Consider the following 24276-nt stretch of genomic DNA (forward strand, 5'->3'; position numbering starts at 1 on the left):
ATTTGATGGCATTTCTGGGTCATCCTAAAAGTACCCTATCTCAAGATTTTTTATCAGTGAAATTAGAAATTTTCCTTTTCTTTTAAGCCATTTGAAGCTGAATTTTGTGATACCTGCAGCCAAAAGCATCCTAATACAATTTGCTACACAAGTTTGTAGAAGGCAGCCCTCCCCTCAGGCCTCCCCACTGTTGCCAGTTCATCTGTTAAATAGACAAGCTGGATTCCCAAGGGCCATGCACAGAGTCTCCTTGCTATTTTTCCTCAGCTCTATTCATGAAAATAAAATTAATTTTCTAGTCCATGAATTAAACATTGCTGCTGCCGGCTGAAAGATTTTAATAACAGCCTTTTGTTGACAAGAGAAGCAGGATCCCGACATGTTCTAAAATAAGCTACAAGGAGTCAGAAGGGTAGGAGGGGAAGCAAAGGGGAGGAGGCCATCAAAAGGAAAAACTGCAAAATCCCACTCAAGTCCAGCTTCTCTAAATGGTCAGCCTGTGGTTGAACTTGTGTGCAGATGAATCACCTGGAGATGTCGTTAAAATGCAGATAGTGATTCCGTGGGGTCGGTGAGGTCTGAGATTTGTTTTCTCTAACAAGCTCCCAGGTGATGCTGATGCTGGCGGTCTGAGGACCACACTTTGAGTAGCAAGGCCCTTAAGGCTCAGGCAACTGCAGCTGTAAGACTGTCTGCATGTTTGTTCTAAAGCTCTGGAATGTCTCCAGAGAGAAACCTGCAGCCTGCCAGGACCCACAGAGCCCTCCAACCTTTCTAGTAAGCAGCAGGCCCTGCAGTAGCCCCAACACCTGCAAAAATGGGCAGCGAGATATGAAGGAGGGCAGATCCATCTTCCCTGGAATGTGGGCTCGTGGGAATCAGCTGCTAAAGAAAGAATGAGGGGGAATGGGAACAACCCCCTCTCCACACATGTACCTTTTAGAAGCAGTGGAAAGAGTACAGGTCAAAGGAAGGAAGGGGAAGGAGGACAGGCTCTGGGTTTGGTCTGAGTTTGTGATAGCCTTAGGGGTTTTTTGTTGTTGTTGTTGTTAGTGTATTTGTTTGTTAGTAATTTTTCCCCCAGGACTGAGTCTGAGTCTGTGAAATCAAATGCCCAACTGAGACTTTATTCCAAGCCTCCCCTCAGCTCCATGCAGCCTGAGGCAGGCACTCAGCCCCACTTCAAGCCCACTAAAGAGTCAGGGACACTGGCACCCAATGAGATGTTTGTCCCAGTGTCTTTCCTGAATAACTTCACACATCCCACCGACAAGTGCTGGTCTAGAAATTGGGCTTGAGACTGTTCCTCCACACTAGAAATCATTGTTATGTGCGACGGGCTGAGAGGAGGAGGTGAGAGCCAGTGGGAAGGCTGCAGGGAGCCCTGGGCAGCCTCTCTTTCCACAAACCAGATGAGGTCTGCTAAATCTTTTCACCACTGAGCAGAGACCTCCAGCACGTCTCCCTCTCCACGTTATGTTCCTCTCTCTCCACTCTACTCACCAGCCACGCTGAACAATTGAGTTCTTGAGCTGCCCTGCCCTGTCTCTCTTTCTCAGGACCTTTGCTCAGGTTGTGATGCCAGCTCACCCAGCCTCTCCACGACCAGCCCTGCACCTCCTGCCATGCTCCACTTGGCTCCTACCTTTGGGGAGCCTCCCAATTCCCCCTAAGCTGGCACTGATTCTCGGTCCCATGGCACTTGAGAATGGATGGTGTCTTGAGGGGTGTCACCTGTGCACCTATTTCTCCAACTGGCCTGTAAGTGCAATGAAGTCAAGGATGGTGCCAGCGCTTGGCAGGTAATGAGTAAGTAATAAATATTGTTGAATAAGGAAACTGAATAATGGTTCTCAGCCCGCTGTGCATTAGAAACACCTGAATAGCATAAAATAAAGAAAAAAAAAAGCCAGGGCATCTCTTTTAGACATTCCAATTCATCAGGCCTAGGTAAAGAAAGGCCCAGGCTTCTGACAATTTTAATCACCACCCAAGTGATTCTGATGTGCCACCATTTCTGACAATCATTGGAACTTAAAAAATGATTCTTGGGCTGGGTGTGGTGGCTCATGCCTGTAATCCCAGCACTTTGGGAGGCCAAGGTGGGTGGATCATGAGGTCAGGAGACTGAGACCATCCTGGCCAACACGGTGAAACCCCATCTCTACTAAAAATAAAAAAATTAGCCGGGCGTGGTGGCATGCACCTGTAGTCCCAGCTACTCAGGAGGCTGAGGCAGGAGAATCGCTTGAACCCGGGAGATGGAGGTTGCAGTGACCCGAGATCGTGCCACTGCACTCCAGCCTAGGAGACAGAGCAAGACTCCATCTCAAAAAAAAAAAGATTAGTGGATGAATGAATATGTGCCTGCATGCACTACTGTGAGGATCTCTCTCATGGCCATTCACACATGTAATGAACAAACAATGGGCATTTGTGAGGGAAAACAGCTCACAACAGGTACCTGTTGTTGTGGCCACCAATCCATTGCCAGGGGAAATAAAATTGGAAAAAAAAAAAAACTGCCTTTACCCAGGACCAGGGCTTCCTGATAACCATGGGGCTTTCTTTATCCAGCGGGCTGGCTAGAGTGTCTCGCTCTCCAAAGGAGGAGCTGAACAGAGGGAATGAGCGAAGTGAAACACTAAGGAAACGTGTGGATGGAAAAGGAAGGCTAACATTTACTCTGTGCTGGCTTCCAGGCAAGCTCCTTACTGCATTCATTTGATTCCAGGTACAGCCTAATGCTGGTTGTACTCTTGTTACACCCAAGGTTGTGGCACTTCCAAAGAAACATGGGACAGAGGAATGGGTAGACTGTGTTCCAGAGACTACAGAATTTCAAAATAAATGTTCAATGAAAAAAAAATGCTACTCAAAGACACTTTTATAGATCCTTAAAACAACAACAACAACAACAACAAAACCATGGCTGTGTCACCCTTTTGCAAATCACTGACTTTTTCCAAGCAACTATTATAATTTTATGCCACACACAAAACTAGGTGAGGAAAACTAAAATATTATAGCAAGGTCATGACTAAATATTTGGATTTAAAAGCTGTGCCTGGCCGGGCACGCTGGCTGACACCTATAATCCCAGCACTTTGGGAGGCCGAGGAGGGCGGATCACCTGAGGTCGGGAGTTTGAGACCAGCCTGACCAACATGAAGAAACCCTGTCTCTACTAAAAATACAAAATTGGCCAGGCATGGCAGTGCATGCCTGTAATCCCAGCTACTGGGAAGGCTGAGGCAGGAGAATCGCTTGAACCCAGGAGGCAGAGGTTACAGTGAGCTGAGATCGCACCACTGCACTTGCACTCCAGCCTGGGTAACAAGAACAAAACTCCATCTAGAAAAAAAAAAAGCTGTGCCTTACATTTGAGTCACAAGTACTCCAAGTCGGAGACAGACCAGTAAGCCAGTGCAGGTTTCATGACCAGGCCCCTACCTTGGGAGGTAATAATAGTAGATAGCATTGAGTGTCTACTCTTTAGCAAGTCCTTTAGCATATGCCCTATCCAGGCACCGTGGCTCATGCCTGTAATCCCAGCACTTTGGGAGGCCAAGGCAGGAGGATCGCTGGATCCCAAGAGTTCAAGACCAGCCCTGGCAACATAGTGAGACCCCCATCTCTACAAAAAACCAACCAACAAACAAAAAACAGCTGGGTGCAGTGGCACACATCTCTAGCCCTGGCTACTTGGGAGGCTGAGGTGGGAGGATCACTTTGAACCCAGGAGGTTGAGGCTGCAGTGAGCCATGATGGCACTGCTGCACTCCAACCCAAGTGACAGAGCAAGATCTTGTCTCAAAGAAAATACATATGCCCAAATTCTCAAATAACTGTCTGCTCAAGATTATTGTATCCACTTTACAGATGAGGAAACTGAGGCTCACAAACTGTAAAGAAACGAGTCTGAAGTTGAACTAATTAGCAATGTCAGGATTCGCACTGGTTTCTACTCTGCAGCTCTCTTTCTCATTTCATGGTCACAGTGCCGTCTGCAGTGACCTTGATCAGTTTGTTTGTTTTAAAATTGAGTTAATAATGTTAACCTCAATCTATGTTCATACTTGTTGGGACTATTAGAGCCAGCAAAAGCACACTCTATTCTTTCGGGTCTAGCTGCAATCCAGGCTTGGGTAAGGCTCTTAATGCTTGCCCATTTGTTAAAAATGCAAGAGTTGTAACAACAATGGGCTTGGAATTACAACGTTTGAAAGGAAGAGTCATTCACTTTTCTTAGATTTTTAGTAGTTTAATTGAGCATTAAAGTTTTTTAAATGATGAGTCAAAGGAAGAGGGAGGGAGAAAAGTCAAAACTGAGACTCTAAGAGATTCAAAGAAATGATGTGGCCCTGTTTCTGTAGCAATTGTAACTGGCTGTGCTCAAAAATCCCAAAGAAAACGCTCAAGACCAGCTGAGTTGTCAGCTGAACAAAAAGATCCCAGCTACAAAACAATGATCTTTTGGAGGAAAACAGGAGGAAGATGGAATGAAAGAGAAGGGCATGAAGGAGGGAGGAAGCACAGAAGGGATTTGTGTTCATCTCTCTTTGGAACGTTGAGAAAGAGCCCTTATTTCCAAAGCCAAATCTATCTTTTCTATGCAAGAGAGGCTGTGAAGCCAAGTTCTGTGCCATCTTTGTGGAATTTATTGCGCTGCCGGAAGACTTTTTTTTCTTCTGCTAAAGAAAAGGGGCCAGTATTAGGACCAATAATAATGACAGTGAATAATTAACACCAACCAAGAGCCAGGCACTGTGCTCAGTGATTTACACATATCATCTAATTTGATTCTCACAACTTTAGGAACAAACAGTATTAATATATCCATTTTAAAGGTGAGAAAACTGCTTCAGAGATGTAAATTTGTCCAAGGCCATTCAGCTGGTAAGTAAGTAGAAGAGCAGGGATTCACATTCAGATCTGCCTGTCTACTGAGCCTTGCTTACTCTAGAAAACCTTGGGGCAAGACAGAAGTCCATGACCATGCATTCTTGGGGGTCCTCAACAACCTGAGGGACTTGATGGAAAAGAAGCACAACCCAATGAAGACATCAGGACCAGGTACAGACTACCCGATGCCCAACGGAAGACAGCTCATCTTTGGGCAAATTTCAGAATGTGACTGGTGGACCAGTGCCTTCCAAGCCCCAGCTTCTACTGACCATCCCATCACCCCACACTGCCTTGTTAATCTCCACCACTTCTCAGTTTCCTTGCCATATGCTGAATCCCACTCAGGATGGTACAGATGCTCCAAGAACCCAGCAGGGCACCAGAGAACGCTATATCTGCCTTAACAATGGTCACGTTTGCGCCAAGACAGGATAGAAGGATGGCTGATCTATCAAAGGAAACAGGGAAAATTACTGCTTTGCATGCCTGGTGCTGTCACTGAAGTTATCTCATGAGGAAAAGAGTCATGATGTCACTATGGGACACATTTAGGGGACTCGGATGACATTTAGGGAAAAAACAGAAAAGGCCTTGATGTTTCTGGGAGCCAACAGCCAGATGTCTGGAGGCCATCAGGGGAGGCTCCGCTGGGAAGCAGCCCCAGGACTCACACGTCCACACAGTAACTGCAAGGCCTCACTCCCTGCTCTACCCATCTTGGGATTCAGGGCATTGACTAACTGTCCCTTTGGCCAGAAACTCTCAAGCAGGCATTTTTGTGAGCTCAAGCCTTCAGATGCAGGTTTTTCCTCTAGTTGGAGTTTGCATTCTGTCCATTTTTTTTTTTTTTTTTGAGACGGAGTCTCACTCTGTCGCCTAGGCTGGAGTGCAGTGGCGCAATCTCGGCTCCCTGCAAGCTCCACCTCCCAGGTTCACGCCATTCTCCTGCCTCAGCCTCCCGAGTAGCTGGGACTACAGGTGCCCACCACCACGCCCGGCTAATTTTTGTATTTTTTTTAGTAGAGATGGGGTTTCACCGTGTTAGCGAGGATGGTCTCGATCTCCTGACCTTGTGATCAGCCCGCCTCGGCCTCCCAAACTGCTGGGATTATAGGCGTGAGCCACCATGCCCGGCCGCTTTCTGTCCTTGAAAGTCATGAACGCATTGCTGAGGACCTGGGGGCACCAAGAGCATTCTGTCCTGACAGCCTGCCCACTCATAAAACGAAAAGGATAAAAAGGGAAAACAACATGCTCTGGCCCCAAGGAGAACTAACAACTTGATGAACTAACAATTTGATGGCTCTTTCACGGATGACATTTTACCACCACACAAATTACTCTCTGCACACTGCACATCCAACACATCCCCTGCTGGGTGCACTGCATAGATGCCTCTTGTTTCCAGCACAACCTCATCTGGTGTGGAGGGTGGCAAGCAATGGACAGGCTAAGCCTATTTCCTCTACAAGTCAGGTCCTTGAAGTGCATGAGCAGCCCACTGGGGCATGAACTTGGCCCTAATGCTACACATAACCAGTAGGGAGGTGGTGAAAAAGGGCCTTCAGTGGGGGGAAATTTGTGGATCAAGGCACCAGGGCTTTCACTGAAAATAACCCTGAGTCAGTGGTCTGCCTCGTCCCTCTGCTTACTATGTAGCCTAGCCATCAGCACAGCTGATCTTAGCTGGTCTCTGATTGTCCCTCATTTCTTCCCTCAAAAGCTATTCATGAGACTGGGTACAGTGGCTCACGCCTGTAATCCCAGTACTTTGGGAGGACTGCTTGAGCCCAGGAATTCAAGACCGGCCTGGGCAACATGGTGAGACCCCCATCTCTACAAAAAAATGAAAAAGAAAATAGCCAGGTGTGGTGGTGCACACCTGTAGTCCCAGCTACTTGGGAGGCTGCGGTGGGAGCATTGCTTGAGCCCAGGAGACTGAGACTGCAGTGAGCTATGATCGTGCCACTGCACTCCAGCAAGACCCTGTCTCACAAAAAAAAAAAAAAAAAAAAAAAAAAGCAGCAGAGGCAGTAGCTATTCATCAGATAAGACCCATTGTTTGGACTGTTTCTAAGTCACAATTTTGGACCTTAAAACTCTAATATCTACCATTGTCTGCTATTTTTTTTTTTAGGGAGGCAATGAAGGTGGGGAGAGAATTAAGACTTACGGGCCGGGCGCAGTGGCTCACGCCTGTAATTCCAGCAGTTTAGGAGGCTGAGGTGGGTGGATCACGAGGTCAGGAGATTGAGACCATCCTGGCTAACACGGTGAAACCCCATCTCTACTAAAAATACAAAAAATTAGCCGGGCGTGGTGGCGGGCACCTGTAATCCCAACTACTTGGGAGGCTGAAGCAGGAGAATGGTGTGAACCCAGGAGGCGGAGCTTGCGGTGAGCCGAGATCGCACCACTGCACTCCAGCCTGGGCGACAGAGCGAGACTCTGTCTCAAAAAAAAAAAAAAGACTTAGGAAATAGCAGATGAAGCACAGGCAGAATTTATCCAGGAAGGTATGGAATGGGGTTTGGGACATGAGTCACAAAGGGGAAACCAGATTCCTTCAGTGTGTTAACTTCTCTAAGGAAGCTAGAGGACACTGGGGCCTGGGAGGTGTCCTCTAAGCCAAGATCTTTCAGAACAAAGGTTCTATCTTCACCACAGAGAGCGGTCCGGAAAGGGCAGAGGTGACCTGGCAAACTTGGAGAGAGGGGCCTTGTCCTTGTGGCTCCTGGTCCAGTGCCAGGGTCTTGGGGCTCAGAGGCTGTAAGAAGTGGAGCCAGTGAGCCCTAGGCATGTAAGATAATATTTTAAGTGCTCACTTTTCCCTGAGCACTCTCTGAACACCACAGCTATTAAAGATAAGCCTCAATCCCCTAGAGGTCACCAGGCTCTGAGGACCAAGCCCAGCCCTGCCTCTGGAAGCAGGGGGGAGAGAGGAGCTTGTTGGAGAACTCTGGGCAATAAGGGCTTTGGTTGGCAGTGTCGGAGTGTGTTGATGAAGCAACAGCTGAACATCATACAGTCTACAGTCAGTTGGAGAATTAAACCAACACATAAAGGTGATGGTGAAAAGGACACAGAAATGAGGAGGTGCACTGAGAGAAGGAAAGATGAAGCAGGAGATTTCCCAGAGCTTTGGGGAGACTTTAAAGGCTTTAGGGATCCCCAAAGATCCTACCTCTCTCACCATCCGTCAACTCTGCTATGCCCTCCCTGAGCCACACCCCCTAAGAGGTACCCACTTCTGGATGGGTTTACTTCCAAGAGCAGGGACTGCAGGATTTCAAGGGAAGGCTTGGAACCATAGTGGCCCCATTATCTACCTAGGCATTTGCAGCTGGCACCATGCCAAAAAAGCCCTGTAGAAAGAGGTCTTATTTTCTTCCTTCCTCTTCCCCTCTGGAAATAAAAGTAGGTTGTGTTTCTCCTGCCCGCCCCTAGAGATCAGGGAAACGGGAGCTGGAAGGGCATCTTGGATTACCTCGTCAAATTCTCACTCAGCATATCAATGCCTGTGCCTTTTGTCCTGGCTACTGCCGCTTCAGTAAAGGAGGCCAAAACCAGTTATTGCGGCCAGGGCGGCTGCGAAGTGGTTCAAAGATCAACGACTGGGGTCGTGTAGGGTGGGCACGCAGTCCCTGGGGCCCAGGGGAAGGGGAATGGTGGTCGGCGCCCGGGCTCCCTTCCCTACTGGCAGGAGTGGGGGTGCACGGAAGGAGGGTACCAGGAGAGCCACAGGTTCCCACTGGCCACATGGGAACAGGGTTTGGAGAAGGCTCTGCACAGCCACAGTCGGAGCTTCGTGCTAGGGTCAGACCGCTCTCGCCATGGGATCGGTTTGCTCACCGAGAAACTTCACCGAGAACTGCAAATGGGCATAGAAGATTGCGGAGGGGGCAGGGACAGGGGCCTTGGAGAGGCAAGAGGGGAACCGGTATCTTCCATCTGGTGCGCGTAAACCAAGACTCTATCCTGTGCCGGGTCTCTCCTCCCCGGTCCAACTCCCTTACTTGTCCTCATCTCTGTCCCCAAGGTCCGTGACCCGCGGAGGTGATGGGGGGGATAGGAGAGCCCCAGGGACCGCAGAGGTGACACAATCGCCCGCCCGTCCTCCCTCGCTGGGAGCCGATTCAGCCTGTGCCGAGCCTCTCCCTTCGCGCGCCTCTGCGCACAGCGGTGGCACCGCAGGACTCCGGGTCCCCCCCGGCTCTCCATCGGGAAGCCGGCAAATGCGCTTCCTCAGGCAGACCGCGGCGGGGTGGGGGCGGGGGGGGGGCGGAAGTTGAAATACTGGGACAGAAACACCTGCCCGTCCCAAGGGACGGAAAACTGGATGCCAAGGGGGCCGCGGCGCGCAGCGGGAGGCGAGGGGAGACCGGGGGTCGCTGCGCACCGCCCGCAGCCGAGGGGCGAGCGGCGACCTCGCGCGCCCCAGCGCGGCCTGGCCACGGAGGCCGGGGCGCAGGGGGCGCCGGCGGGACTTACCCCAGAGCAGAGTGAGTGGCTTGGCTTTGGGGATGAGCACCAGGGAGTACACGGCCCCCAAGTGGAGCAAGCTCATCAGGACGACATTCCTCCAGACGATGTTCTGCCGCTGCCCGCGCGCGCCTGGCCTCTCCGGGCCGCCGCCGCCCTCAGAGCTTTCGAGCCCGGCACGGATTTCTTCCTTGGCGTCGCAGAAAGGGATCTTCCCCGCGTCGGTGGCCGGGCCTGGCATGGCTGGGCGAGGTGGGCGCCCGCAGCAGCGGCAGGCAGGCAGGCGCTCTGCCCGAGCGGAGCTCGAGGGTGGGGGCGGGGGCTTCTGCCTTTTAGGGGGGAATTCTCCGCACGTCCAGTCCCCTCCTTCCAGCCCTTCTCCCGGGCTCCTGCGCTCTTCCCCAGGGTCTTAGCGTGGCCTAGGGATGCAGATCTTGGCGGCCGGCGTCTGTTGCTGGCGTATCCCCCATATGGCTGCCCGGGCTGAACTCGGCCGCGAGAAAGAGGAGGCGCGCGCGGGGCGGGAGGGGCGCGCGGCCGGGGAGGAGGAGCTGTGAAAATGGAACGGGGCCGGCGACGCTGGAGGGAGCGCTCCGAAGGAGCGCGGAAGAAAGCCCTGCTTAGCTACAGCCAATCAGGAGCGCCCGTGCGGCGCTTATAGACAAAGGCGCCCCCCTTTCGGCTTTTCGGGGCCGAACTGGGGAGCCCGCTGGGCGGGAGTTGGCCGCCTCCGCCCGGGGGCGGGTGGAAGGTGGCTCCCGGGGCAGGGAGCCTGCAGGGCGGCTCACAGCGCTTCTGCTCTTGTGTGTGTGTGACCCCCAAAATGCCTTTTATGGTATTTTTCCAGTCCCCCCCCCAAAAAAAAACTTCCCGAAACTGTCATCCCTTTGAGAAGCCTTTTATTTCTTCTCAAGCCTCAGGCCACCTGGGTTGGAGAATTTTAAATACTTGCTTGGAGTCGCGACCCTAGTTAAGGCCAGACCCACGATGAGAATCAGAAGTCCCTCAATCTGCCAGTTAGTAGGGCTCCTCGGGCCAGGGGAGGGTTGGAAGGCAGCTGCTCGTTCTTAATTAGGCAGCTGTGGATTACCCAGGCACACAGTAAGTGCTCAGTTGGTGCTTGTGAGGTGATGCACAGATGATTTGGGCCAGTTCGCTGCCCACCCTTTGCCCATCCGCCGCGCCACTCTGTTTATGGTCAATTCTAGCTAATCAGCGCACTTCTGCAACGCCTCCTTAGCTCTCAGTGAGGAACACTACCCTGAAATCAACACCATTGAGAATCGGGCTTTACAAAAAAATCACCCAGAATGTTCCAAGGAAAATTAACCTGTGAAAGATTTGTGTCTGCCCACTTCTCTCCTAGAGCTGATGGCTTAAGAGCTCTCCAGAGAGGACCCTAGTTGCACAGAAAATGGAGGGAGGATTGAGCTGGAAGTGTCTGAAGCAGGTGTGACCGCAATTGCGGGCAGGCAGCAGAAGTAAAAGGGCTCGGGACAGCATCTCTGAGTTCTAGTTTTAACTGGCTGGAACCCAGCCCAACTCTCTGGGCACGGATTTCCTTACCTGAGAAGCAGAACTAGTTTCTACTCTTCCTTCCAGCTTCCATATTCCATGAATGTGAGTTCGAAGGGGCGCCATTATATTGACCAAAACCAGCTGATTTTTAGATTAACCGTTGTTAGGAATCATTTCCAGGATTTCAAGAGAGGCAAAAAAATTTAAAAGACTGACTGCATGAAAGGGCCATGCATAAGCATCTTATTGTTAGCAGACCTGAGCCAGTCCTAGCAGCCAGACAAAACAATGCCTGATTTAAGCTAAAGCAAGGTATGTGGCACTTGTGGAATCTAGGCCACTGAGTCAGTGTTACTGTGTTGCTTCAGACGGAGCTGAAATTATAGAATTTGCCTGGAGACCAGATAAATGTCGGCCCTATATAATGACCAGTCAGACAGTGGAACATGAAGCTGGAGGGTGCGATTTTCATCTGTCTGTTCAACCTGGGCTATGTAATGAACCACGTTTTCTTCTCATGCTCCCTCTGCTCCCCATACCCAGCAGACCTTCCTACTCCCTGTGGCTCTCTAGTTCAGACTGTCCTTTCTCTCTGGGGTAGACTAGTTGCTCGGCCAAAAGCCTCTCTCCGGGTTATTGGAAAGGCTCAATGCTGTAAAGACCCTCATTCTAAACATTCAGTCATTTATTTGGCATTTATTGGGCATCTGCTATGTGCCAGGACCAGTGGGCACAGGGGATCCAAGGATGAATAAAGTCTGGTCCCGCCCCTAAAGGAGCTCCCATCTAGAAGCAAAGATGGAGCAAACAAATGTAACCTCTTGACTATGACCTTGGAAGGGCAGAAAGTTACAGTCCATTATCGGAAAAAAAAATTTAATTAGGTATCAAACTTACATACAAGGAGTCTAAGGGAAGCAAAAATAGTTCCTTATTGTCCCCCCTGAGAACCTTATTAGGTCAGCTGTTCTATCTTGAATCCATCTTTTGTTTGTTTGTTTGTTTTTGTTTTTGAGACGGAGTCTCGCTCTGTTGCCCAGGCTGGTGTGCAGAGGCCTGATCTCGGCTCACTGCAAGATCTGCCTCCCGGGTTCACGCCATTCTCCTGCCTCAGCCTCCCGAGTAGCTGGGACTACAGGTGCCCGCCACCACGCCCGGCTATTTTTTTTTTTTTTTTTTTTTTTGTATTTTTAGTAGAGACGGGGGTTTCACTGCGTTAGCCAGGATGGTCTCGATCTCCTGACCTTGTGATCCGCCAGCCTTGGCCTCCCAAAGTGGTGGGATTGCAGGCGTGAGCCACTGTGCCCGGCCCTTGAATCCATCTTGAATGAACATCTTTCTCTTTTCCCTCCTGTGGGTCAGACCAGGTATGACCAGTCATTTCAGCTGGCTGTCCTCATAATGGAGAAGATGTTTTTGTGTGTTGAGGGAGGAAAGAAGTGTTACTTAGGTTTGTCAGAGCCTGCCTATAAAAGGATTGTTGAAGAAAAATGGTCCTTCCAGGTCCAGCCTCAGAGTGAAACATCTACAAGATCCAAGATATATTCTTGCTGATAACGACGGTCCTCTTTAGCCAATTATGCCATAGGGGTCACTGCCTCTTTTCTCTGTCTTGCCAAAGACCCTAGTATATTTTCCTAGCTTCTAGTCAGGACCCCAGGAGTGGATAAGTATTCACCTGTCCCAGGATGGGGCAAATGGGACAGTAACCCTTATCCTGTCAAACACGTAATTACCAAAAATGTAATAAGAGCCATAATGGTGGTATACGCAAGATAATGTAGAGGTGCAAAGGAGGGAGTTGTTAATTCACACAGAAGCAGGGAGGAGGGGGAGTGATACCTGGGGAAGGATTTTTAAAAAATATTTAATTGTGGTAAAATACATGTAACATAAAATGTATGTAACAAAATTTACCACTGTAACCGTTTTTAAATGTACAGTTCAGTAGTGTTAACTATATATGCACATTACTGTGCAACCGATCTGCAGAACTTTATCATTTTGCAAAACTGAAACTTTATGCTCATTAAACTCCCCTTTCAATCTCCATCCAGATGCTGGCAACCACTGTGCTACTTTGTTTCAATTAGTTTGACTACTCTAGATACATCATATAAGTGAAATAATAGAGGATTTGTCTTTCTGTGACTGGCTTATTTCACTTAGAATGTTTTCAAAGCTCATCCAGGTTGTATGTGTTAGAATTCCCTTCCTTTTAAGACTGAATAATATTCTATTGTATGGATATGAATTTTGTTTATCCATTCATCTATCTAACAGTGGACATTTGGGTTGCGCCACCTTTTGGCTACTGGAAATAATGTTGCTGGGAACATGGGTGTACAAAGATCTCTTCAGGACCTGCTTTCAATTCTTTTCGGTATATATATGTATATCCAGAAGTGGTATTGCTGGATCTTATGGTAATTCTATGTTTAATTTTTTGAGGAACTGTCATACTGTTTTCCATAGTGGCTGCACCATTTCATATTTCCAACAACAGTGCCCAGCGGTTCCAATTTCTCCAAATCCCCACTGATACTTTTTCTGTTTTTTAGATAATAGCCATCCTAGTGGGTAAGGAGTGATATCTCATGGTAGTTTTTATTGCCCTCCCTTAATAATTAGTGATATTGAGCATCTTTTCAAGTGCTTGTTGGTCATTTGTATACCCTCTTTGGAGAAAGATCTATTCAAGTCCTCTATTTTTAAATAAGGTTTTTGTTGTTGTGGTTGTTGAGTTGTAGGAGTTCTTTACATATTCTGAATATTAACCTATCAGATATATGACTTGCAAATATTTTCTTCCATTCTGTAGGTTTCCTTTTTCACTCTGTTGATTGTGTTCTTTGATGCACTGACATTTTAAATTTTGATGTAGTCCAGTTTATCTATTTTTACTTATATTGTCTGTGCTTGTGCTTTTGGTGTCGTATCCAATAAATCATTGCCAAATCCAGTGTCATGAAGCTTTTCCTCTATATTTTCTTTTAAGAGTTTTATAGTTTTAGCTATAAAACTTACATTTAGGTCTTTAATATACTTCGAGTTAATTTTTGTGTATTGTAGAAGATAAATGCCCAGTTTCATTCTTTTATGTGTAGATATCCAGTCTTCCTAGCACCATTTGTTGAAGAAACTATCCTTTCCCCATTGAATGGTCTTGGCTCCCCTGTTGAAGATCAGTTGACCGTATATATGAGAGTTTTTTTTTTTTTTTCGGCTATTTCACTCCATTGGTCTGTATGTCTGTCTTTATGCCAGTACCACATTGTTTGAATTATTGTAGCTTTGAAATCAGGAAGTTTTGAAATCAGGAAGTTTGAGACCTCCAACTTTGTTCTCTTTTTTTTTTTTTTTTTTTCAAGATTGTTTTGGCTATTCAGGGCTTACTGAGATTCCATACCAGTTTTAGGATCTTTTTAGGTCTGCCAAAAATGATATTGAGATTTTGATAGGGATTGCAGTAAACCTGTATATAACTTTAATTAGTATTTTCATGTTAATGATATTAAGTCTTCCAATCCATGAACATGGCATGTCTTTTCACTTATTTATGTCTTCCTTAATTTCTCAGCAGCATTTTGTAGTTTTCAGTGTACAGTTATTTTGCCTCATTGGTTAAGTTTACTGGGTAAGGATTTTGAAAGATTGTTGTTTAATTAAAATATATCATGAGCCTCAAATTCAAGCCACATGTGTAATTGTAATGTAGCCACATTAAAAAGGTAGAAACAGAAAAAAACTTTAATAATATATTTTATTTAACTCAATGTATCCAAAATATTATCTTTTCAATGTAAAATCAGTATAAAATTATTGATACATTTTATACTTTTTTCATACTATGTCTCAAAATTCCATGTTTCCACTTAACAACACGACACACCTTAATTCAGATTAACGACAAGTGCTTGTAGCCACATATGGCTAATGGCTGTCATGTAAGACAGCACTGTTGAAGTATGAATAGTTCAAAGAAATGGTAGGGGATATTCCAGGCAGAGAAAAGTGCGTAAGTAAAGTTTTTGCACTTGGCATTCAGGGAGGTATATGGAATATCTGAAGTGAAAGTAGGGAAGCGTAGGAGATGAAGCTGAAATGCCATGCAGTGGGCAGCAGATGAGGGTACGTGGGTGTCTTGAGTGCCGTGCAGACAGAGCTATGAGGTAGGTGAGGGGAGCCACAGAAAGACTTTATGTAGCACAGTACTGGGATCAAGTTTGCACTGCAGAAAGACCACTCTGGAAGAGAGTGGGGAATGATTGTATTGGGGGTGCAGAGAGCTAAGATTGAAGGTGTGAAGATCAGTTAGGACACTATTTTAAGAATCTGTTGAGCAATGATGAGGGCCTGAATTAAGGCAAGGGCACAGATTCTGGAGAACAATAAATAGAGAAGATGGAATCAAGCCAGAGAAACTCAAATGGAAGAGTCAAAGAGATTTGATGCTGGATTAAACATAAAGAAGGAGGAAGAAAAATCTAGATTCTTTTTGGGTCTCTGAACTGGGTATTCAGGTGAAGGACAATGTCACTCACTGAAATACTAAGTTTGTGTTTATTTCCTCTCTTGTAAAGTGAGAATAATACCTACCTTATAGTATTCCTGTGACAACTAAAGTCAATATCCATAAAGTGATTAGAACAGTGCCTGGCACATAGTAAGGAATTAGTAAATATTATCACCATAATCATAATCATTTTTGAGATAGGAACTGAAGAAATAAATTAAAGAAGAAAATGAATTCCTGTTTTAGACATTCAAGTGAAACTTTGGGTGGATTTTTGAATATATAGGTGCCTGGAGCTTGGCAAAAAGTCTAGGCTGAAAATAACAATTTAGTCATGGTTCAATATAGTAAAATCCATGTCAGTAGAAACAGTTGGCCAGGAAAGGTAAGAAGAGAAAAGGGCTCAGGATAGAATCCTAGTGAAACACTATTTATGAACACAGCAAAGAAAAAGAAGCCAGTGGTGTGAACTGAGAAGGGAAAATGAGAGAAGTGGAAGAATCAGCAGAGTGTGGGAGAGCAGGATTCGCAATGTCGAAAATGTTATGGAAAGGCCAGGAAAGAAGGGAAATGAAGAGCACACTGTATACAAAGGTCATGGCTGACATTTGCTGAGGACTTTTCAACGAGTGATGGGAACAGACCTTGCACAGAGGTGACTTTAAGAACAAGAGGGAGGAGACAAGCATGGAACGCATATGTAAGTTAATTTTCCTAGATGCTTGGCAGTAAAGAGGAGAGGGATAGAGAAGCAAAGTTGAGTGTGTGCTTTCTAGGGCTGGATGGGATCAGGTGAGCAGATGGTTGGGCTAACTTAGAGCAGAGGGACAGCTTTTCATTGGAGACTGGAAGGAAATGAGGATGAAGGGAGCTTACAGAGTGGGCCAATAAAGTAAGGGAGGGTGCCATGATGGCCTGTTTGCTCTGAAGGGAAGATCAGGTGTCTGCTGGACAAGCAGAGTGGGAATTTGGTAAAGAGTTGGGAAAAAGTGATGAAGGCCTCCAAAAGCTGTTGAGAAAAATGAGAGAGGAAGCTGATCAAGAACATTTAAAAGGTTGCCTGGCCTAATTAAGGGCCCAACTAAGAATGGTTGCCACAAGCTTAAACTGGCTTAGTCTGCACAGTTGTGGTTACACAGCATCCCTCAGCAGTCTGATGGAATATCCATATTGAAGTTGTAGGGTGGGTTTGATGGGAGGACAAAGGATCCAGGTACTTGAGGAAATATGACTAGAAGGAAGCTAAGATGTTATAGACAGTGGAGGAATCAAGGGAACCAAGGTTTTGAAGAAATTGAAGAGAAAATCTGTTTATTAGGGAATGAAAATAAATGAAGTAATGGCCATTATGCCCCAAGAGTGGGATCTGGGACTTGAGACCTATGGTTGTGAAAGAGTTTCCAACGATAAGCTCCAAGGTGAGGCCACAGGATTATAGTGGAGGGTTGGCAGTTCCTGGAAATGAGGAAGATGAAGTATTATGGACAGGACCTCCAAAGGGGGTTGAAATCACAGGCTGCATCCAGATTTAGCTGGAGAAGATTGTGAGCTGGGTGCCCAAGGGGACTTCCTAAAGAAAGACAAGTAACAGCTTTCAAATGTCAATGAACAGTTAGAAGATTCTAAATACAAAACTAGCAGCTCTGAGATGTATGAGGACAAGACCATCACAGCCAGAATTCCTGGATTCTGGCCAGCAGTGCATACCTTGGAGTAGAAGTTGCTTCTGGTAGAGAGGATAGAAAGAAGACAGAAAGTATTATATGTTAATGCTACCTACAAAAACTGTGTGTGAGAGAGAAACATGATGAGGCATGTGGTCTGGTATGATCAGGAGGGCTTCGTGGAGGAGGTGGCAGCAAACAAGGCCCTGGAAGATAGGTGACTTTGCAGAGACTCCCACTTGGATAATAGCCTAAGAATAGGCTTAGATATGGGGGTGAGCCTAGCAAAACACCTAGCACTTAGATAAGGTTGTATTTTGGCCAGGCACAGTGGCTCACACCTGTAATCCCAGCACTTTGGAAGGCCAAGGTGGGTGGATCACTTGAGCCCAAGACTTTTAGATTAGCCCGGGCAACATGGCAAAATCCTGTCTCTACAAGAAATACAAAAAATTAGCTGGGTGTGGTGGCATGCACCTGTAATCCCAGCTACTTGGGAGGCTGAGGTGGGAGGATCACCTGAGCCTGGGAGGTCAAGGCTGCAGTGAGTCATGATTGTACCACTGCACTCCAGCCTGGGTGATAGAGCAAGAACCTGTGGAGAAAATGCAGGCTTTAGGGAGGGAGGAAAGAGCAAGAAAAGATCCATTCTTGAAGTTAAAAATTTACAATGATTCTCAGATCTATGCATTTCTCAAAAAAATGCAGATTTTGTCTACAGGACAAAATCACAATCTTGTGAAAATGACCTAGGTTTGGCAGTCTAAAACCTGGGTTTGCAGGTACATGGATTGGAAGAATCAATACTGTTAAAATGTCCATACTGGCCGGGCGCGGTGGCTCATGCCTGTAATCCCAGCACTTTGGGAGGCCGAGGCAGGTGGATCACGAGGTCAGGAGATTGAGACCATCCTGGCTAACACGGTGAAACCCCGTCTCTACTAAAAATACAAAAAATTAGCCAGGCGGGGTGGCAGGCGCCTGTAGTTCCAGCTACTCAGGAGGCTGAGGCAGGAGAATGGCTCAGGAACCCGGGAGGCGGAGCTTGCAGTGAGCCGAGATTGCGCCACTGCACTCCAGCCTGGGCGACAGAGCGAGACTCCGTCTCAAAAAAAAAAAAAAAAAAAAAAAAGTCCATACTACCCAAAGCAATCTACAGGTTCAATGCAATCCTCATCAAAATACCAATGACATTCTTCACAGAAATAGAAAAGACAGTCCTAAAAATGTACATGAAACCACAAAAGGCACAGAAAAGCCAAAGCTATCCTGAGCAAAAAGAATAAAACTGGAGGAATCACATTACTTGATTTACAGAGCCATAGTAACCAACACAGCATGACACTGGCATAAAAACAGACACATAGTCCAATGGAACAGAATAGAGAACCCAGAAACAAATCTATATATCTACAGTGAACTCATTTTCGACAAAGGTGCCAAAGGCATACATTAGAAAAAGGACAGTCTCTTCAGTAAATGGTGCTGGGAAAACTGGATATCCATATGCAGAAGAACAAAACTAGACCCCTATCTCTCACTATATAAAAAATCAAAATGGATTACAGACTTAAATCTAAGACTTTAGACTATCAAAGTACTACAAGAAAACATTGGGAGAAACTCTGCAGGACATTGGACTGGACAAAGACTTCTTTTTTTTTTTTTTTTTTTTGAGATGGAGTTTCACTCTTGTCACCCAGGCTGGAGTGCAATGGCACAATCTTGGCTTACTGTAACCTCTGCATCCTGGGTTCAAGCGATTCTCCTGCCTCAGCCTCCTGACTAGCTGGGATTACAGGTGTGCTCCACCACACCTGACTAATTTTGTATTTTTAGTAGGGTCCAGGGTTTCACCATGTTGACCAGGCTGGTCTCAAACTCCTGACCTCAGGTGATCTGCCCACCTTGGCCTCCCAAAGTGCTGGGATTACAGGCGTGAGCCACTGTACCCAGCCAGATTTCTTGAGTAATATCCCACAAGCACAGGCAACCAAAGCAAAAGTGGACAAATGGGATCACATCAAGTTAAAAAGCTTCTGCACAGCATAGGAAACAGCCAATAAAGTGAATATGGAACCCACAGAATGGGAGAAAATATTTGCAAACTACCCATCTGGCAAGTGATTAATAACCAAAATATATAAGAAGCTCAAACTCCACAGGAAAAAAATACTGATTTTAAAATGGGCAAAAGATCTGAACAGACATTTCTCAAAAGAAGACAAACAAATGACCAACAGGTATATGATACAATGCTGAACATTATCATCAGAGAAATGCAAATCAAACCTACAATGACATATTATTTCACCTCGGTTAAAATGGCTTTTATCCAAAAGACAGACAATAACAAATACTGGTAAGGATATGGAGAAAAGAGAACCCTCATACACTGTTGGTGGAAATGGAAATTATTAATAATATCATTGAGGACTCTGAGTAAAAGGTATAATTTCTCTATGATTTCTTATAACTGTATATGAATAAATAATTACTTCAAAATTAATAGTTTAATTAAAAATGTGAAGTGGTTGAAGCATTGCATTCAAGGTTTATTCACCCATTCATTCATAGAATATTCCAGAAATATTTATTGTATATATGTTTATAAGTATGCTTATATAATATAAATATATAAAATATAAAATATAAATATATTTATATGACCCAGCAATCTCACTGCTAGGTACATACCCAAAAGAAAGGAAATCAGTACATGGAAGAGGTATCTGTACTCCCATGTTTATTGCAGCACAATTTAGAAGCAACCTAAGTGTCCATCAACAGATGAATGGATAAAGAAAATGTGGTACATACACTCAATGGAGTACTAGTCAGCCATAAAAAAGAATGGGATCCTGTCCTTTGCAACAACATGAATGGAACTTGAGGTCATTATGTTAAATGAAATAAGCCAGGCACAGAAAGGCAACCTTTACATGTTGTCATGTATTTGTGGGAGCTAAAAATTAAAATGACTGAACTCATGGAGATAGAAAGTAGGACAATGGCTACCAGGGAAGGGAAGCATAGTTGGGAAAGATAGTGTGGCAGGGGAGAAAGGGGGATGGTTAATGGGTACAAAAATATAGTTAGATAGAATGAATAAAATATAGTATTTGGCCGGGCGCAGTGGCTCATGCCTGTAATCCCAGCACTTTGGGAGGCCAAGGCGGGTGGATCACCAGGTCAGGAGTTCAAGACCAGCCTGGCCAAGATGGTGAAACCCCATCTCTACTAAAAATACAAAAAAATTAGCCAGGCATGGAGGCGAGCAACTGTAATCCCAGCTACTCGGGAGGCTGAGGCAGAGAATTGCTTGAACCCAGGAGGCGGAGGTTGCAGTGAGCCAAGATCACACCACTACACTCCAGCCTGGCTGACAGAGCGAGACTCCGTCTCAAAAAAAAAAAAAAAAAAAAAATATATATATATATATATGTATAGTATTTGATTGCACAGCAAGGTGACTACAGTCAATAATAATTTATTGTACATTTAAAAATAACTAAAGGAGTATAACTGGATTGTTTGTAACACAAAGAACGATAAATGCTTGAGGTAATGGACACCCCATTTACCCCAATGTGATTATTATGCATTGCATGCCTGTATCAGAATATCTCATGTACCCCATAAACATGTATACCCACTATGTACCCACAAAAATTAAAAATTAACAATAAAAAAAAGACCTGGGTTGAAGTCTGGCCCTCCCACTCTGAATTGGCACATCCAAGTACTGTGTGATTTGGGGACAATGAGTCTCTTTCAGATCTTCAGTTTCATCCTATATATTATGGGAATTAAGACAGATCTATGCTGGTAATCCTCTCCAGGCAAAGTGCCAAATAATCTCAACATCAGTATTTTATGTGCAAAATGGAGATAATACCACACATTTCACAGGAATAGAACTTTGTAGAGTTTGGTACCTAAATTAGTGTGAACCACTTATTTTATTACTATTTTTTTAATCATTCTAGACAGATGGACTGAATGCAGTTGTAATAACCTGCCTGGCCAGAAAGCCAGGATGCTCCTGGGGGTCCCAGACTGTGAAGAGAGGCATAACTGGGTAGGCTACAGGGATTCAGACCTTGAAGGAATGAATTCTAGCAGGGCCAGGATTGGCGTGCTTTGAAGGGAACTGTGAAAAAAAATCATCTGCTTTGGTTTTTCAGAGGTAATCATTAAAGGCAACTCCTTTGGCACAAAAAAGGAATCAGCTCTGCGGCTCTTATGAATTTAAAGGCGAAGGAGGTTGCCTCTTGGCTAAGGGACATGAAGAACAGCTTCAAGTTTAAACAATCTTTGTGCTCACAGTGTGAGATAATCACTCACAGGCTTTACATTAGAATGATTCCAGTGAAGCATAATGTTGGAAAGTTAGCCTTCAAGGTTACAGGAAGATGGGTTTTGAGATACAGCAACACCACGGCTTAGAAGAAAATCAGTCCTCTCTGCTTCCTCCAGTCCCAGGAGGGTTGGTGTCTCTCTTTCTGTACTAAATAGATTGGAAAAATTCCGCACTGAGAATTTATATAGCAGTGGATGATGGGAGACCTGGTCCTCTAAAATGAATGCTTCTATTGCTTTAGATGAGAAAAAGAGTGAAGGGTTTTCCTTTAACAAAGACCCTTATTGCTTAAGACCCTTCCAACATTTCCTGATGACTTTTTTTTTTTTTTTTTTTTTTTTGAGACAGAGTCTCACTCTGTCACCAGGCTGGAGTGCAGTGGTGCGATCTCGGCTCACTGCAACCTCCGCCTCCTGGGTTCAAGCGATTCTCCTGCCTCAGCCTCCCCAGTAGCTGGGACTGCAGGCGTGCGCCAGTACGCCCAGCTAATTTTTTTTTGAGACAGTTTCGCTCTTGTTGCCCAGGTTGGAGTGCAATGGCGTGATCTCGGCTCACCGCAACCTCTGCCTCCCAGTTTCAAGCGATTCTCCTGCCTCAGCTTCCCGAGTAGCTGGGATTACAGGCATGTGCCACCACACCCGGCTAATTTTGTATTTTTAGTAGAGTCGGGGTTTCTCCATGTTGGTTAGGCTGGTCTTGAACTCGTGACCTCAGGTGATCTACTGGCCTCAGCCTCCCAAAGTGTTGGGATTACAGGCGTGAGCCACCATGACTGCTGCAATTTGGCAGTAGGGAATTGGGCTCTGGAGATGACCAGATTTGAAGGCTATTCGTTCCTGATTCATAAGATAGTTAAGAAGGTCTACTTTATGAAAAACCCATTGACATACTGAAACCTACCCAAACCTGTCACTTTGGTCAGCAATATGCTGCCCCTTGCATCTCTCCAAACAATCTTGAGTTTCAATCTATTAACATTCTTTCATTCAATATGTATTTATCGAGCCTATTCTAGAAGTTAAGCACTGAGCCCAGCTCCATAGACAGAGGAGTTTATGGCTTTATGCTCAGGGAATTCACAGTTCAGTAGGGGAGGCAGACATTAATCAAATAATCACTAAAAGAATTATATACCACAAATTCTAATAAATGCTCTGGAAGTCACTAATCATGCTTTTTTAAGACCCAGCCATGACATGTCAACATTTGTTAATACCCATACCACATCCACCTTTGACCAGGCTGAAGTGCAGTGGTGCAATCACAGCTCACTGTAGCCTCAACCTCCTGAGCTCAAGCAATCCTCCCACCTCAGCATCCTAAGTAGCTGGGACTATAGGCATGTGTTACCACACCTGGCTAATTAAAATATATATATATATATATATATTTTTTTTTTTTTTTTTTTTTTGTAGAGACGGGGGTCTCACTATGTTGTACAAGCTGGTCTTGAACTCCTGGGCTCAAGTGATCCTTCTGCCTAGGCCTCCCAAAGTGTTGGGATTACAGGCATGAGTCACTGCAACTGTCTAGAAATGAGGTCTATAAACCTAACCAAACTCCTCTCCGCTCTAACCAAACTCCTCTCCGCTCTCCCTGCTCCCAAATCTCAGCTCTCTGAAATAAACATTTCCTATTATTATGACAGAAGACAGCATTAATAAAGTTTTCACCCACAAACTCTTCCAGCTCTCCAGTTCCCCTCCCTCCACAACACCCACCCGTTTTCTTTTAGGATAGTTATTTTGGTTTCCAAGGGCAGATAAATGCAGAGACGTTCTTATTTATTTCTCAGCATTAGCTGCTGTTATTGTTTCCGTTTCAACGACCTCTTTCTCTTCCTGCTGTGTCAATTACCACAGCCTGCTCTAAAAAGGCAAAGGCCCCTGCTGTTCTCTAGCAGGGAGGGGGAATTTGTAAATAGAGTTCAGGAATGTCAAAAGGGTGACCCAGATTTGTAGCACCAGAAGAAAAACTGGTTCATTTTGAGTATCCTAAGCCATCACTCAAATGTAGCCTAAGCTTGATGTGGGAAACAGGTTTGCAGAAAGGTTAATTTCATGAAAATATATATCCTTAATGAGGAGGACTCACTACTTGAGGACTTCAAGGCCAAGCAAATGTTTATCCCAAGTCCTCAAATTACAAACTCTCTCTTTAATGCTTGCCCATTAATTTCCAACCAGGGGAAGTGCAGAATTGATTTTGCTCCAGAATGGAAATCAAATTAACTCTACAAGGGGAAAAACGTTATCGAAATAGAAACAGGCCTCAGTTGTTTCTGCCTTTTTTTTTTTTTTTTTTTTTTTTTGAGACGGAGTCTCACTCTGTTGCCCAGGCTGGAATACAGTAGTGTGATCTCAGCTCACTGCAACCTCTGCCTCCCAGGTTTAAGTAATTCTCCTGCCTAAGCCTCCCAAGTGGCTGGGACTACAGGTCTGTGTCACGACACGCAGCTAACTTTTTATATTTTTAGTAGAGATGGGGTTTCACCATATTGGCCAGGCTGGTCTTGAACTCCTGGCCTTGTGATCCGCCCACCTCGGCCTCCCAAAGTACTGGGATTACAGGCGTGAGCCACCCCGCCCGGCCTTGTTTCTGTCCTCTTTCTTAAAAGCTTTGGTACTTACCAAAATTTTTATCCCTCCTGAAGACTTGTAGGTAACAGACAAAGACATTGTGGAAAAGGCGGATGTATCACAGACTTTCAGAGCTGCAAGTGAAGTTAGAAATCTAGTCCTATTCCCTCATTTTACAGTTGGGGAAACAGAGGCAGAAGGTGGTGACATGATTTGGCTAACAGTATGTGGCAGAGAAGGCACTAG

The 24276-nt window shown here is 45.6% G+C and overlaps 1 protein-coding gene across 2 annotated transcripts in view, besides 5 other annotated features; it reads right to left on the bottom strand.

Moving 5' to 3' along the window:
* The window catches only part of SCD5 (stearoyl-CoA desaturase 5), a 169258-nt gene extending 159368 nt beyond the window's left edge, over positions 1-9890 (bottom strand). For both annotated transcript variants that reach the window (NM_001037582.3, NM_024906.3), the window contains exon 1: positions 9400-9890. In NM_001037582.3, the coding sequence (NP_001032671.2) occupies positions 9400-9631 (232 nt within the window). In that variant the 5' untranslated portion in view covers positions 9632-9890. The remainder of the gene's footprint in view (positions 1-9399) is intronic.
* Positions 8116-8637: an enhancer, noted in NCBI's record as "OCT4-NANOG-H3K4me1 hESC enhancer chr4:83718175-83718696 (GRCh37/hg19 assembly coordinates)". NCBI's record gives its function as "activates a minimal SCP1, AML or CMV promoter by ChIP-STARR-seq in naive H9 embryonic stem cells {active_cell/tissue: H9 hESC(naive)}" and the evidence as "EXISTENCE:reporter gene assay evidence [ECO:0000049][PMID:30033119]".
* Positions 9446-9495: a silencer, noted in NCBI's record as "silent region_15534". NCBI's record gives its function as "represses an Ori minimal core promoter by ATAC-STARR-seq in GM12878 lymphoblastoid cells {active_cell/tissue: GM12878}" and the evidence as "EXISTENCE:reporter gene assay evidence [ECO:0000049][PMID:35858748]".
* Positions 9614-10331: an enhancer, noted in NCBI's record as "H3K4me1 hESC enhancer chr4:83719673-83720390 (GRCh37/hg19 assembly coordinates)". NCBI's record gives its function as "activates a minimal SCP1, AML or CMV promoter by ChIP-STARR-seq in primed H9 embryonic stem cells {active_cell/tissue: H9 hESC(primed)}" and the evidence as "EXISTENCE:reporter gene assay evidence [ECO:0000049][PMID:30033119]".
* Positions 9826-10245: a silencer, noted in NCBI's record as "silent region_15535". NCBI's record gives its function as "represses an Ori minimal core promoter by ATAC-STARR-seq in GM12878 lymphoblastoid cells {active_cell/tissue: GM12878}" and the evidence as "EXISTENCE:reporter gene assay evidence [ECO:0000049][PMID:35858748]".
* Positions 10332-11048: an enhancer, noted in NCBI's record as "H3K4me1 hESC enhancer chr4:83720391-83721107 (GRCh37/hg19 assembly coordinates)". NCBI's record gives its function as "activates a minimal SCP1, AML or CMV promoter by ChIP-STARR-seq in primed H9 embryonic stem cells {active_cell/tissue: H9 hESC(primed)}" and the evidence as "EXISTENCE:reporter gene assay evidence [ECO:0000049][PMID:30033119]".

This window comes from Homo sapiens, chromosome 4, assembly GCF_000001405.40.
Source record: "Homo sapiens chromosome 4, GRCh38.p14 Primary Assembly".
Lineage (NCBI taxonomy): Eukaryota > Metazoa > Chordata > Mammalia > Primates > Hominidae > Homo > Homo sapiens.